The sequence below is a fragment of the Homo sapiens genome, chromosome 16 (assembly GCF_000001405.40).
Source record: "Homo sapiens chromosome 16, GRCh38.p14 Primary Assembly".
Taxonomy (NCBI): Eukaryota; Metazoa; Chordata; class Mammalia; order Primates; family Hominidae; genus Homo; species Homo sapiens.
In genome coordinates, this window is record NC_000016.10 from 71,022,860 (window position 1) to 71,039,499 (window position 16,640).

The 16,640-nt window shown below is 40.8% G+C and overlaps 1 protein-coding gene across 4 annotated transcripts in view, besides 1 other annotated feature; it reads right to left on the reverse strand.

Annotated features, from left to right (window-relative positions):
• Positions 1-16,640, reverse strand: part of HYDIN (HYDIN axonemal central pair apparatus protein) — a 428,639-nt gene that overhangs the window by 220,776 nt on the left and 191,223 nt on the right. For 2 of the 4 annotated variants that reach the window (NM_001198543.1, NM_001198542.1), the window contains exon 19: positions 8,552-9,058. In NM_001198543.1, coding sequence (NP_001185472.1) covers positions 8,816-9,058 — 243 coding nt within the window. In that variant the 3' untranslated portion in view covers positions 8,552-8,815. Of the gene's footprint in view, positions 1-2,523; positions 2,668-4,248; positions 5,017-8,551; positions 9,059-16,640 lie in introns of those variants that run through there. The other 2 variants (NM_001270974.2, NM_017558.5) reach the window with 2 other exon arrangements.
• Positions 5,034-5,750: an enhancer, noted in NCBI's record as "OCT4-NANOG-H3K27ac hESC enhancer chr16:71061796-71062512 (GRCh37/hg19 assembly coordinates)". NCBI's record gives its function as "activates a minimal SCP1, AML or CMV promoter by ChIP-STARR-seq in naive and primed H9 embryonic stem cells {active_cell/tissue: H9 hESC(naive and primed)}" and the evidence as "EXISTENCE:reporter gene assay evidence [ECO:0000049][PMID:30033119]".

Consider the following 16,640-nt stretch of genomic DNA (forward strand, 5'->3'; position numbering starts at 1 on the left):
AAATTCAAACAGTAGACATTTAAATAAAAACATGCCCCCCCAAAAGGCATAAGGATATAAAGAGAAGAAAAAGAGCACTACCCACACATTTTTATTAGTGTTTATGGGCTTAGAGAAATCTAATAAGAAACTAGGCTGCATATTTAACATATATTACGTCTTGCCCAGAATAGCTATTCAATAAATATTCACTGAGTTTTCTCCCAGTAATGGCATTCAGGGAAAATACAATGCCACCAACTTCAGTGCAGCTGTTGCCAATAAATATCTTTCCTGATTACTTAAAAATGAAGAATTTAAAATAGAGCAATAAAGCTTAATAACTGTAGCAGGAACTCTTGTCGTATTTTCCTTTTACATGTCTCATGGAGCTTGTTGGCTTCGGGTTTAGCTTGGGTTTCAGTGACGGGAAGCTAAACTAACAATGTCCACCTTCCCCACTCATCTATTAAGCCAAGCCATGGATATTTTATTTTATTTTATTTTAAGTCCTGGGATACATGTGCAGAACGTGCAGGTTTGTTATATGGGTGTACATGTGCCATGGTGGTTTGCTGCACCTATCAACCCATCATCTAGGTTTTAAGCCCCACATGCATTAGGTATTTGTCCTAATGCTCTCCCTCCTCTTGCCCCTGACCCCACGACAGGCCCCAGTGTGTGATGTTCCCCTCCCTGTGTCCACGTATTCTCACTGTTCAACTCTCACTTATGAGTGAGAACACGCAGTGTTTGGTTTTCTGTTCCTGTGTAAGTTTCCTGAGACTGATAAACCATGGTCTTTGCTGTGTCTTTTCTGCCTTATATATTGTAGGTGACCGATACACCTGCTCAAAAGTTACTTGTTGATTTGAATTGAACTTGTACCTCTCACCTCTCCTACTGGACCACAAGCTCTTTTTTTCATCTCCTAGCAGAACATCTTTCCCATGGTGATAATCAACAGATACTAATTTGTTTTAATGAACAAAATATGATGGAATCCACTACCAAAATAAATGGTCTTGAACATTCTTCTGCAAACCTCCAGGTAATGAAAGGAACCCCAGTTGATACCTCATGACTGGTTAGGCACTGCCACACCCAATGTTTTTGTGTGACAGCAAAGATCACACTGTGGGGCAGTGACTTACTTAATGCTTGGTCTTCCCAGCAGGCTGTGAAATTTATCAGGGAGGACTGTTCTCACTGTTGTATCTCTAGCCCCCAACACTGTGCCTAGCACATGATAGACCTTAATAAACATTCCATTCAGTGGCCAGCATGATGGTTTCAGTGAATCTGACCATGTCACTCCCTTCCTGGAAGCCCTCCAATGGCCACCCAGAACAAAACCCAAAGTTCAGATAATGCCTTCCAGGCAGACTGCACGTCTCCAGATGGACTTTTGCCATCCTTGGCACATTCTCTGTCCAAGGTGGCCTTTCCTAACTCGAGCCCTTCATGTGAGCTAGTCCCTCTGCCTACAATTCTCTCCCCCTCCCTTGTCACCAGACTAGATTCTATTTTTACTTGTAGTCTCAACTTGAGGCACTTGCTCAAGAAAGTCATTCATGACCACATGGACGAACAAGATCATGTCTCCTAATACATGCCCTCCCAGCACCTTGCACCTCTTCTTAATAGCAATGTTTATAATGGTGACTTCAACAATTAAATTTTAATAATTTGTTTAAAGTCAGCCAGCTTAGCTTTGGTTATGTTTGTCTGGTTCACTAGATTTCCAGTACCAGCTCAATCCCCAACTCAGAACAGACATTCCTTACATGTCTTGAATGGTAATTAATTCTGGATGGAAGCCTATCTAGGGGCAGGTCAAGCCTATTGTGATATCTCCTCCACCCCATCTCTTCACTATCCTGACCCCCCGCCCTGAGCAGCAGCCACTACCTTCTCTCCCTTGTCCCCTGACTCTGACATTTACTGTCTACCCTTACGTAGAGCCATTTAAGTTAAAGAGTGTGAATCTAATACTTTAAGTTGATTATTCTCCAGCTTAACCTGTATCTCAGTTTCCTCGTGTGCATCACATCACACGTCATTTCCTTGTGTGATAACAGAACCTGCTGCATACGGTTGTTGTGAGGGACTACTGGGTAAATGTATGTAATGAACATGGCTCCATGTCTAGCAAGTACTAATCAATCAGTGGTAGATACTCTTACTGATAATTATAATTATCAATAATTCTACTCCAATCCTTCCTCTGCCTTGGGTTTATTTTACCTGATTAAAGTAAGATGATTGACTAAAATGCATATTCAGTGCACTGGAATACCACTTCCTTAGGTCTTAGACATCAGGAATGATGGAAATAGAATTTCCACAGCAACTTACATGTCAAAGGATTGTAGGTTTAGATTCAGAATTTTTAGTTGAATGTGTACTGGCCTCTGAAGCTTAAAAAACATGGGCTGAGTAATGGGTGGAAAAGGATGCCCATTAATTCAGCTTTCAAAATGAAAATGTAAACATGCTGACCCTAGTCGAAGCACCCAGCCCTCGCCAGCACACCTCACTGACCTTCTCCAGTCGGTAGATGAGCTGCTTGGTGGAGAGCTGGATGAGAGGTGCGACGAACTCACAGGTGATGTTCACAGCCATCACCAAGCTCTTCCCCTTCTGTGCCCCGATGATGGCGTGGCACACCAGCTTCTCTTTCACTATCTGCCAGTGAGATAAGCCAGCATTTGGGGAACAACTATAACTTAATACTTACTCAGAATACTTATTTACCCACTGAGAGAAAATGGATTTCCGACTACCTGCCTGGGGACACAAGGAAGAGCACACTTTTCTGAACAGCACGTTTCAGGGACTGCTCTTTGTCACATGATTATGTTTTTGTTAGTTACACATGGCCTTGATGGATTCTGTATTTATTTCTGACTGCCCTGAGGCAGTTGATTTACATTCAGTTCTGGGAGTAAAAACATTGATGAACAAGACAGATAAAATCTTTCATGGGGCTTATAGTTCAAAGGTGGTTATATGATTTCTTAATAAACTATTGAAAACTGTAGTTGGAAAGTTTTTGTCTTTTTCTTCCTTTTTTTTTTCAGATGGAGTTTGCTCTTGTCGCCCAGGCTGGAGTGCAATGGTGCAATCTCAGCTCACTGCAACCTCTGCCTCCCCGGTTCAAGCGATTCTCCTGCCTCAGCCTCCCAAGTAGCTGCGATTACAGGCATGTGCCACCACGCCTGGCTAATTTTGTATTTTTAGTAGACACGGGGTTTCTCCATGTTGGTCAGGCTGGTCTCGAACTCCCGACCACAGGTGACCCACCCACCTCGGCCTCCCAAAGTGCTGGGATTACAGGCGTGAGCCACCGTGCCCGGCCAAATTTTTGCCTTTTATACTTAAACATTTAAAAATCATGCATTAGGAATTAATATTTCTTTGGACTCAAAAAGCCTAGATTTTTATAAAGCAGAAAGGATCAAAAGTGAATTTACAGCATGAATAGGTTATATAGAAGAGTGCTCAGGTTAGGGATGTTAATGCATTCCAGTCTCTTCTCAATTATGTAGCATGATTTAGAAGAACATTCGGGGATGCTTTTAGTAAAGCTTAAGCTGAGTTTAGTCCCCCAGCAGCTCAGAATTAATGCCTTCAAAAATATGGACAACTCTTGATAACCACATTATAAATATGCTCTTCCAACAGCTGTCAGTGTCTTGAGATAAGGGCCTGTGTTCTATTCATCTTTACATCCTCAGTGCCTAGCACAGTATTTGTCACATGGTATACACACAATAAAAGTTGGCTGATCACCTGAATAACAGAGAGAAGGAACACATTATCTTTTCCACAATGAGAGATAACCTCCCCTTTTGTTGAACTGAGGATGCGTTTTACCTGAAAATGCTCTATGAAGAAATAATCTAATGAAATAAAGTAGAATCTGTGACCTTAGAGAAGCTAAGCAAGGGACTAGCTTTCCAGCTGTGTCTACTGGGAGACAAAGTTCTTTTTGCTTCCTATTTAATGTGGGGAAAAGTCAGTATCACCTCCAAATTTGGCAACACAAGCAGGATCTTAAGCAAGCATCATTTCTCATCTACAAGGTCTGCATTTTGTCGGGAGGGAGAGACTCTTAAGTGACTTTGAAAGCCTTTCCTTTAGGTTTTTAATGGTTTCCACACTCTGTGAGAGAATAGGGATAAAGAAACACTCATGATTTGGATCTACTGAAATGTTTTACGTAGAGTGTATGGAGATCATGTAAATAAAAGCAGGGAATCAGAGTTGCTGAAGATAAATGTGGCTCTTTTATTAATGCATAAAAAGAAGATGTTTTGAAATGTGAGTTGCAGTCAGGCTGGAAAGAAAGGAACAGGGATGTCCCAATACCTGAATAGGAGAGGCAGCCCAGAGTGTCGATATAAACACCCTTTTTGAATGAATATTAAATTCATCCTGCTAAGTGTTAATAGGAGAATTTGCTTTGGCTAAAAACTGGGTGTTTTTCTACCAGAGACTTGCTGGCTGGTCACTGTGGACCCTGGGCATGAGAACCTCCTTTAAGATTGGGTTCACAGTAGCTACAGAAACAAATTGAAGACTGAGCAGAGCTGCACCCCGAAAGCAACGGATGCTACTATGGTAACTCAGGATTGTACACAATCCTTGAGAAACCATATCCTTCCTCAGATAAATGTCAAGGGACTTTCCTAAGAAATAGATACAGTAGAGATTTATTTAGGAAAAAACAATAGCTTCCAAATGTGCTATCCCCTTACCCTGGGAGTAGCAGAATAGCCTTCGAGTATCACATCAATTGCCTGGCCTGGGTACAGCTCCATGCTGGCGGGGTGGAGATGAAACACGGGGCTCTGTGGATCCCTGGGCTCCTGAGAGCCACTGGGCTGGGGTTGGACATGAGCATGTCCCTTCTTAACCCGGCCCTTCTTACTCAGCTTGGCCTGGGGTCGGAAGCTATCATTCATCCAGAACAACTGTTGGATCCGACGTCCCTTGTTGATCAACTTAAAGTGGTAATAGTGGGTATCCAGGCTGGAAAAGACGAGGCAGGTGTTGAGAGGATTCCATTTAGGGATGTTCTGTTCAGCTCTACACCCTTGGGATTTACTCTTCTGGAAGTATTTAAAATGGTGAGCAACAATATAAGACTTTTTTTTTTTTTTAAATGTAGGAAGACTAAGTCACGATGCCACTAGGAACTAACACAGCGTTGGCATCACCAGGTAAGGGGCTGTGGAAAATCTCCACTCCCCGTAAGTCTTCCCCAGCAGGCCCCACACACTGCAGGACACACACAGTTCATGTGAAAAGCAATCCCATTTAGAAAAATAGCTCTGAGGAGTGAAAGGAAAGCAAAATACCTACTGAAGGAGAAGCGAGTTTCAAGCTGTGCTGAGAAAATTACTAGTGACTGAGTGGAATGTCCCATAACAATGGGCTCAATTTGAAGGAAGCTTTGAAGAAAAACCATGCATATTCTCTAAGCTTTAACAGAGGCCAGGGGGACTGCAATGGGCCAGAACACCACCGGGATTGGTCACCCATCTCAGACTAATGTGCTTTAAAGATGTTGCAATTTCATGTATTCATTTGTTCATCATGCATTCATATATTCCACAAATATTTACTAAGAACGTTCCGACTGCCTGGCTATTTGCTAAAAAAAAAACTGGGATTTCTAAGATCTCGGATATGGTTCAAATGTGTTTTTGTTTGTTTGGGATTTTTTTTTTTCCCCACAGGCTTACTTTAAAATATTTTCTTAGGGAAAAACTCATCTCGGGACTGTTTTTTATTTTTTAAATTTTACTAGGCTTTGAGATTTCATCCCATCTGTTCCTCCTTAGGAAATGACATCATGCCTGGTAAGTTGAACCATGAAATAAACAATCAGAAGGAATATTTGCTAGTTGTTAGGTATAACCATTTCTAGCTACATATGTTGTGAATCTGTGTCCACGGGGCACGCTCAAGGGAGCTTCTTTACTTGGTAGTTTATGGCTAACAGTAGGCTTTTGGGGGAAATAATAAACAACATATACTGTTTATAAAAACCATATACTGTTTATAAAAAACACATACTGTTTATAAAGACTAGGCAGGATGTCTGTTACTTATTCACAGTATATCTTTCAATCATCACAGCAATCCAGTCATGATAAGTATATTTACTACCATTTTATAGATCAAGAAATGGAAGCTCTGAAAACCTAAGGGAGTTGTCTAAAAATATGCAATTAGAAGCGGCAGCGTATGGCTATTTCTTTAGAGCAGATGTTGGCAAACTTTTTCTTTAAAGGGCTAAACAACAAATATTTTAGGCTTTTTGGGCCACACGGTCTCTGTAACAGCTACTCAACTTTCCCTTGTAGTGTGAAAGCAGCCATAGACAATATGTTAAGAAATGGGCATGGCTGTGTTCCAATAAAACTTTATTTACAAAAGCAGGCAGAGGGTTGTAGTTTACCCAGCCCTGCTTTTGACAATTCTTCTGGAGACTGCAGGCATAGTGATTTTATGTCAAAAAGTTTAGGCAGAGGGCAAATTAGCAACTAAAGCTACAGTTTGCTTTTATATTCATAGAAAACTGTTAGCTAACCCTCCAATTCCATATGTCAGAATATCCTTTGAAGGCTACTTGACACTATTTGTAGATTTAAAAGAACATGTAATTAGGTCTGGTTTGCCACATATTGTTTTCTACAATTATATTTGAGTGCACGAAAAGAAATTTGAAACTAGAAGCACTGGTATGCAATGACAAACTACCCTCGCTTACGGCCAATAGACAGGCAGAGAGGACAATTCTTATATTTAGTCGACTTGAAAAATATAATTGGATACTTGTCTAAAAGCATGCAATTCAACCATGTGACTTGCTTTTTACTTAATTTTCTACTAGTTTATGGTATTTTCAATCAAGTCCCATATTTTGTAGATGGAGCAGAGGGAAGGATTCTGGGGAGGGCTCCTAATTGATTAATGTCAGTCACATCTCCAAGCACAGCATATATGACTTGATTTCAGGGCCTGTGAGCCCAGAAGGCAGGGGGAATACCTTCTGAGATCTGTTCACAGTACTGCAACAGATAAGTTCAAATTCAACTGGCCCCCAAGAGCCAACTAGTGATGGCGACATGACTCTCCTGAGGAATCAAGAATCCCCACACATACCCTCTACACTTAGCACTCAAACCTCATATATATATTTATTTATTTAATTTGAGATGAAGTCTTGCTCTGTTGCCCATGGTGGAGTTGCAGTGGTGTGATCCTGGTTCACTGTAGCCTCAACCTCCCGGGTACAAGCAATCCTCTCACCTCAGCCTCCCAAGTAGGTAGGACAACAGGCATGTGACATCATGCGAGGCTAATTTTTTTATTTCGTAGAGATAGGGGGGTCTCCCTATGTTGCCCAGGCTGGTCTCCAATTCCTGGGCTCAAGCAATCCTCCCACCTCAGCCTCCCAAAGTAAAGTGCTGGGATCATAGGCATAAACCACTGCTCCCAGCCCAAACCTTATATATGTGTGTGTATACATATATATGTGTGTGTGTATATGTATATGTGTGTGTTGTTCTTCTTTTCTTTCTTTTTTTTTTTTTTTAAGACAGGGTCTCACTCTGTCACCCAGGCTGGAGTGCAGTGGTACGACCTTGGCTCACTGCAACCTCTGCCTCTTGGGCTCAAGTGATTCTCCCACCTCAGCCTCCTGAGTAGCTGGGACTACACGCACCTGCCACCATGCCCAGAATTTTTTGTACTTTTGTAGAGATGGGGTTTTACCATGTTGTCCAGGCTGGTCTTGAATTCCTGAACTCAAGTGATCCTCCTGCCTTGGCCTCCCAAACTGCTAGGATTATAGGCGTGGGCTACTGTGCCTGGTCCAAACCTGATTTTTATGTCCACATTTAGATTGTTCTGCTCAGAGGTGTCTATACTGTACCACAGCTTATTTAAATATTTAGACCCTCTAGCTTTTCCTGGGTAATCAGGCAAAGCCAATGGAAACCATCTCAGTTGTCGGTACTATGGGAGTCAAGTAGAGGACATAAGCTTTGCAAAAGCTGCTAGTGACCGGGCACGGTGGCTCATGCCTGTAATCCCAGCACTTTGGGAGGCCGAGGCAGGTGGATCATGAGGTCAGGAGATCGAGACCATCCTGGCTAACACGGTGAAACCCCGTCTCTACTAAAAATACAAAAAATTAGCCAGGCGTGGTGGTGGGCACCTGTAGTCCCAGCTACTTGGGAGGCTGAGGCAGGAGAATGGCGTGAACCCGGGAGGCGGAGCTTGCAGTGAGCAGAGATCGCGCCACTGCACTCCAGCCTAGGCCACAGAGCAAGACTCCATCTCAAAAAAAAAAAAAAAAAAAAAAAAAAGCTGCTGGCTCTGCAATAGCTGATAAAATACACTTGCAATAAATTTTTACCTTCCTAGGTATGTTCTGCTTAGGTTACCACTAAGCTGTATCTGTATTTTCTACATTTGTGGAGAGGGATTAACAGTGTATTGGAATCAAAGAGGAGAAATTACGGTTGAGAGTCTAAATTAATCACAGAGTAGCCAGTTTGAGAAAAGAATGCATTTCCTACAAACCATATTCTTCTCGGATGTAGAGGGACACGGATTAGAGAATGCAACCAAGTTATGGCTAGAAAATGTCTTCTTGTTGCTGACATACACATCAGGAGGTGGAAGAGTGAGGATGGGAAAGGAGAGGGACTGAGGTGGCTAGTTTTAATTACTTAAAATAATTTTCTAAAGTAGAGGTGATGCTCAGCATATGTAACATATGTGATATCTATAAAAACTGGTCCATGAGATTTCCTTACCTAAAATGTGCCCCCAAATTGAGTTCTGGAGCAAAGGGCTTATCTGAAACAATAGTGGAACCAGTTCCGGAAGCCTGAACAGGAATCCGATAGGTACTGCTATTTTCAATGTCCAAAATAACACAGTCCTTGAATGTCAGTGTGTCATTCAGGTTGGCGGTCAGTGCCAGTTGAACATCAGTTTCTGGAGGAACCATGCCTTCATTGGGTTCAATCGTCCAAAGGGATTTTTTGTGTGCCTGCAACACAAGAGTACAAGTTAACAGGGAAGATATTCTTGGCTTTTTGTTCTATAGATGTCAAAGCCCTCTACACTTCAAATGGGTGGCATTGTGGAATTCAACATCAGAGACAAACATTATTTTTTGAATTAAAGCAGCTGGATGTTTGTTGGTTTTCCTTTTTTTCAAAAAGCAATCTGATTCTGAAGAGCAAACCTACGATTTTACTTTTGAATTCTCTGTGAAGATTCTTTACATCTCTTTCGCAAGATAACCGTCCAATTCTCAAACAAGCTTATAATTATTATCTACTATAATCTCCAGATTCTGAGATACCAACAGAAGGCACAATACTCTTTATGGAGTTTGAAATTTTTATTTTTTATTCTTATTTATTTTTCCTTTTTGTTTTTTTTTTTTTTGGAGTTTGAAATTTTTAAAAGAAACGTTTTTCAAATGCAAAATTTCTAGTGTTATAGTGAGGATGAACCAATTTCATTAATATAATATAAGAAGTCATCTGGATTTCTACTAATTTATAATAATTAATAATTAGCCTCATCAGAATTTCATTAGCTAAAATTGCAAACTTATTCTGAAATACAGACATGTGTTACTTAATGACAGGGAAACATTCTAAGAAATGTGTCATTAGGTGATTTCGTTGCTGTGCAAACATTGTAGAGCGAGACAGTGGAGTCTACTACACACCTAGGCTATACGGTATAACCTGTTGCTCCTAGGCTGAAAACCCGTGCAGCATGTTTCTGTACTGAATACTGTAGGCAACTATAACACAGTAGTATTTGTATTTCTCAACCTGTCTCTGTTTCTGAGCCTCATCTGCATTTTCTGTTTGTTGTTTTCTGTGCTTCATTTTTGATGCTTTCTTTTGAGCTCTCTTCCAATTCACTAGCTCTCTCTTCAGCTATGTGTAATATGCTATTAAACACATCTATTCTCTCCTTAATTTTGATTTCTGTATTTTTGAATTCAGGTGTTGGTATTTTTGATTTTTATAAGGTTTTCATCTTTTGACAACTTTTATAATTCTGACTATGACATTCAACTTACTAGCTACTACAACTAATAATTAGGGACCACTCCTCCTAGCCCCTCCAAGTCTTCTACAAATTTAATGAGCAAATTGTTTTTGGACTTTTCAAGTAAATATAACAAATACATATTCAACGGCTCTGAGGTCCAGGTGTTGTGGGAAATACATAAACACCCCGAGGAGCTGACAGCAATGACATTAGTGAGACCAATATTTCAACAACAAAAATGGAATTCATAAGGAGGCCAGAGTGAAACTACTTCAGGGGAATCTAAAGAACAAGAGCAAAGGATGTTGAAACCCTTGGAATGTCTGACAAATGCACCACACACATTTTCTTTTCCCTCCAAATATGAAATTGGGCTTAATTATCAGGTGATGTGATTCCTAATTATATTGTACTATATTATTAATACTACTAAAATTCTAATTTGTTTAATTGCCTATATAAACAATTATCTCAAAGTTAATAAAAAGCATCAAAGAAAAAACATCCTTTTGAATGAGGTCATGTCCTTTGCAGGGACATGGACGGAACTGGAAGCCATTATCCCCAGCAAACAAACACAGGAACATAAAACCAAACACTACATGTTCTCACTCATAAGTGGGAGCTGAACAATGAGAACACATGGACACAGGGAGGGGAACATCACACACCAGGGCGTGTCAGGGGTCGGGGGGCAGGGGGGAGAGCATCAGGAAAAATAGGTAATGCATGCTGGGTTTAATACTTAGATGGTAGGTTGATAGGTGCAGCAAACTACCATGGCACACGTTTACCTATGCAACAAACCTGCACATCCTGCACAAGTACCCTAGAACTTAAAAGAAAATAAATCATTTCCCCATTTTGATTGCTTTGTCATTTAGATCAATTATGAAAGTCCTGTTTTATTTTGGGAAAGACATTACTCAGAAGTACTTATGTGGATTAATCTTTATAGAAAATATTTAGTTATTACCAATATGCACTGAGAAAAAGCTGCAAAAGAAGAGATGTGGAGAGTATTTAGATGCTTCCAGGATAATAACGGAGAGGAAAAGCCACACTCTCCAGTTCATCAGAAAAGAGTTTGATTATTCCTTCATGAATCTTCCTTGTGAATCTCCCAGGAAGCTTCGTGAAGCTCCCTGAGTTTGGTACCGCAGAAGAAGCCCTCCAAAGTAACGCATACAGTAGAAAACAATGGATTTGAAAACAAATGCAAATTTTACTATTTGAGCGGGGCTGTAGAGGACATTCCAGTCTAAGATTACCCTTTCATTTAATTCTATGATATACTTCTTCTAGCAAAAGGAGAAAAAAGAGAAATGTAAAAACACATGTAGCTCTATGGGGGCTCAGGTACAATGGACTGGAAACCTCCTGACAAACTTAGGTCAGAGTTGCACTGATGATCTCTGTAAGTGACATAAACGTACATTGCAGATTGAAAGCAAGAGTTAGAGATTTCAGCCAGGCAGAATCTCACAGGGTGGCAGTGCCTTGGAATGTCACCAAAATCCTGGTCTGGCGCCACTGCAGATTAAAAAAATAGATTCAGTCAGTGGGCCCGATGGTCACTCTCTTAGGAATAGGCTCACAGGTACTTAAATAAGGAAAATCTAATATTTAAAGCAAAATGTCAATTTCCCAATTTATAATTGAGGACAAATGTAAGACAGAGCAGAAAGCTAGTTATATTTCTTCCTGGTTTGAAAATCTACATGGGAAATAAGTAAATTGCATTTTAAAATTTAAATGAATTAAATAAAGGAAAGAAGAACATTTTTCAAGGTTTTAAATTGTATATAAATGAGGATGCAGATGAATGATAATGAGGAAATTTTAATTTTTGGTATTAATGGAAACTATAGATATAACTCTAAGTCAAGAGTCCTATTATTACTCATAATCTTCAAATATGGAAAATCCCAAAAAGACATAGAAATAGAAAAAAAAACAATTAAACATTAAATACCACACTAGATAAAGTAGGACCTGGATGGAGATGTTTGTATCATTGTCTGTATTCAAAGGATGCGCATGAAAAAAATGCTGAATCTTGCAAGAGGCATCTATTTTTCAAAATTTTCTCGATAACTTTCCTATTCGTAGTAACTTGGTTCTAGTAGAGTACTAAAATAATCAGAAAACAGTAAACAAAGTCTCTGTCTCTCCAGAGCATTAATCTGTATTTGTTTATAATTTTGTATTAAAATATTAGTAAAAGATAATAATCCTATTAAATTTAATTTTCAGGACTGTAGCTCAATTATTATTGCCAAGAGAAACTATAAGGATTGAATGTTACAATGTTCTATCCATACTTAGGTTCAAAGAAATAATTTCTGATGCATCTTCCTAATTTATCAAAAGAAACATTTTAACAGCCTTAAAGTGACAACACTAAAATCCTCTAACACATTAATCATAGAAAATGACATAAAATATGTTCTAAAAGAGCTATAAGTGCAAATTCAATTTTCTATAGACATTTTAAAATGGATCAAGGTAGCTTCATTTCATCTTGAATTTATATTACAGTAGATAGGAATCTTTGACTTTTATCATTTTCAGTTGGCATACACAATCAAAGCAATACATGGAAATGGATTTCTCATGCTTGAGTAACCAGACGTTCTCCTTTCTTATAACTGTTTTCCCTACTTGCTGTTTTGAAATTCTAGGCTATTATTTTAGATAAGTTTATGGTAGCTGTTGTAACAGAAAGACCCCTGATGCTCAATGGCTTTATACAACAGAAGCTTATTTTGGGCCCACATGAATTCCAATTGGTGACAGGTGTGAGGATGGGCTTCTGCTCCATTTAGTCATGCAAAGATCTCTACTAAACGGATTCTGACATATTTAACTCTTGGTTTCTAAGATATCCATATTGACATCCAGCTGGCCAGTAAGAGAAGAAAGAGAAAGGAGGGTTGTGTGCTAGGATTTTATGCACCATGCCTGGAAGTGGTGCACATCACTTCTGTTCACTTCCACTGGCCAGAACTGAGTCAATGCAGCCTAACCCCAGTGGAGGTTAGGAAATGTAGTCTAGCCCTGGGTCTACAGTAAAGAGAGTTGAGTGTGCCGAGCTGCTAGCTGCTCTCTGCCAAAGTTTCCTTGTTGGTTCACTTTACTGCCACATCCTCATATCTTCCCCCAACTCTCCCAGATCTCAGATTTTGAAAGGTGAAGAGCTTACTCCATCAGAACACAGATCCTATGGGAATTGCCTTTCAGATCCTTTGGGAACTGCAGGCTTAGAGTTCACATCCATCTGCTTTTAGGACAAATGGAGGGGCAGCTAGAGAGAAACTAAGAAAGTTCTGGGCAAGAAGATCTCACTTTGTTGACCCTTCTTCCCAAATTGATGGCCTGTTAGCATCCTACATAGCTTTGCTCATTTATGAGACTCAGCTTACAACGAAAACATAAATCAATGCCATTTTTGTCATTTTATCAAAAAGCAAAATGCCTTGCAGAGAGAGTACTGTCAATGTCATCTTTCCTATTCCAATCATTTGTTTTCCTCCTCTAGCTGGTAGCACAGGCCAATCCTCTGTTCACGATGAAGTGAGGGTGTCATCAGCATAAGTGCTCTTTCAAGTCAGGGGACATTAGTTTTCAATGGATGTGTACCATTTCTCTTCTGTTTCCTGCTGACACAGGTTGGCTCTTCTGGAAAGACCTGAAGTTGTTCTTCAGGGCTGAATTGGTGAGTTTTCTGATGAAGCTTATTAATCAATGCTTGGCATAAAACCAGACAGCAAAATATATCATAGAATGCAAGACAAAGACACATTAAAATGCCAGATGTTAAGGCACTGGACTGCTCTTACCTTACACGAGTCAGCCTCGAAACTACTCTATCATCCTTGTGTCTCTTTGGTGGTTGACTTTTAGGGCTATCCTTTGCTTTTAGGGAGGGCTTGGTCATTGTGATATTTCCTGTTATTAAATGGAAAATTTGACTAAAAAAGGAAAGGACGAATGATAATCATCATAGCTATGGAGGGCATTCCGTAATTCTTTCAAAACCACAATAGGGCGAAATAGCAGCTGATAGAAATAGGGTGGGAGGGAGGGCGCTGAAGGAAAGGGATGTGGGTTTGAGTCCCTGCTCTGCTGCTTTCCAGCTGTGGAACTTTGGGGATGTCTCCTAACTATGTATGCCTGGTCTCAGGTTTCTCATCCGTAGCTCAGGATATTGACTGTACCTTCCATATAGAGCTGTGGGGACGGATGAGTGAGACAGTGCAGGTAAAATCTCAGCACAATGTTGGGCACAAAGCAAGTCCTCAAGAACGAAAGCTATCGTCATCATTTTCCCCAAATCTGAAATGCCCCACGTGACATACAATTATCAGCTCAAAACAGAAAACAAAGATGGATGCTAAGGAAGCATTTAACATACAAGACTCTTGCCAGAAAAGGAGCGGCTATGGGGTTGTGACAGGCAGAATTCTAAGTTGGCCCCCAGGATCTCCACCTCTTGGAGCACGATTATCCTCCCCCAGTTACTTAGTCAAACACAAATCCAGGTGTTGCTGTGAAGGGATTTAGCACATGTAGGTAAGGTCCCAAATCAGCTGACTTTCAGATAGGGAGATTATCCTCAGCGGTCGTGACTTAACCAGACTATACTCTTCCTGGTGAAAAGATTCCAAGCATAGAGGGCCTATGGGAGGGGCCACATGGCAAGGAACAGCGGCTCCAAAGTGGCTGAAAGCAGTCCCTGACCGAGGGCCACCAAAAAAACTGAGGGACTCTGTCATTCAACTGCAAGGAAAAAAATTCTGCCAATGACCTGGGGGGCCCAGTAGTGGATCTTTCCCTCACCAAGACTCCCGAAAGGAATGCAGCTCGGCTAACCTTGATCTCAGCCTCTTGAGATCCTAAGGAGAGAATCCAGCCTGACTATGGCTGGACCCCTTACCCACGGAAACTGAGATCATAAGTTAGCATTGCCTTAAGCCGCTATATTTGTGATAATTTGTTACCCAGCAAGAGAAACCTAATACAGGGTTCCATCTATTTGTTCCAAAGATGATAAAAAATGAGCCTTCCTAAGCTTTCCATGAAAATGTCAGCCATAGCTGCCTTTGCTTTTTCTGCAGTCTGGGGCCTGAAAGCCAGAGTCGTTTGAGCAGCTCGTAAACAACATGTACAGGAGGTATGTGCATGCCTGCAGGGAATATGACTGTGCGAAAGATGGAATATTTGCGATCTTTTGTAATTCAGAATTCCGTGACCACTGGTGATGAGTGTTAAGCCCTCCCCTCTGAGGTTTCATATATCTAAGGATAACATTTGCCTTTTATTTGACAATACGGCAGCAGCACACTTATGCAGTGCTCAGCTCCCAAGGTAAAGCAGCCAGAGCTTTATAGGTTTCCTTATTGTGTGTTTAATATTTGCCACAAAAGGCAGAAGTGAACACCATTGTTTGCACATGTCACCGCAACAATCACCGGGAGTGTGGCTAATAACTAGGAAGCTTGAAGAAAATAGCATTGTGCACTTTTCTTCCAAATAACTCATTTGCCAGTTGAAATCTGCAAGAATCTCCTTCCATGAAATAAAGAGAGCAAATAACAATAGGAAGCAATGTGCAGAGTGAGGGATTTCTTTGGAGTTACACTATTATCTCAGCAGATGACCGGCACTATGTGGAACAAGAACAATGAAGGGTCACCAAGGCATTTCTCTTTTTTTAAAAAAATTTCTTTTGAGAAGAAGTCTCACTCTGTCACCCAGGCTAGAGTGCAGTGGCGCCATCTCGGACCACTGCAACCTCCGCCTCCTGGGTCCAAGCAATTCTCCTGCCTCAGCCTCCAGAGTAGCTGATTACAGGCATGTGCCACCATGCCTGGCTTATTTTTATATTTTTTGTAGGGACAGGGTTTCATCCTGTTGGCCAGGCTGATCTCTAACTCCTGACCTCAAGTGAACTGCCCATCTCAGCCTCCCAAAGTGCTGGGATTACAGGCCCTTTCTCCTGTTCGTCTTCTAAATGGGGTCTCTGGTCACATAGTTCTTTTCCCCGAAGCGAGTCACTTTGCTGCTTAAGAAAGTTAACTGAAAATTAGGAGATGAGATGCAGAAGAAATGGTGTAGAGCTTTACACGGGAGGCAATTTAAGGTCATAATCAGAAGTGTGGGCTTGAGAGTCTCATGACCTGGTAGTCAACTATGGACTCTGCCATTCATAGCCAAGTGACCTTGCACTAATTTTAAAATCTAGGTTTCGGTTTCCTTTTATGTTAAATGTTAACTTGAAGATAAAATAAAAGGGTGCTAAGCATCTAGCACCTCGTCTATCATAGATTACATGCTCAGTCAGTGGTGATCATTACTAATGTTATTTTCCAAACTTCCCATCCAGTTCTCCTTCCTGCTGGTACCCTCCCCAGTCTACACTGTTGACAGTGATAGGGACGGGGGGCAGAGGAATTCTAGAAAAGGGTGGGTCCCTGGCGAAACCCTACCTTTAAGCTGAAAAGCCGGAACCTGTGGCCCAAAGTGAGAACTTATATCTCTGTTTTCCTACT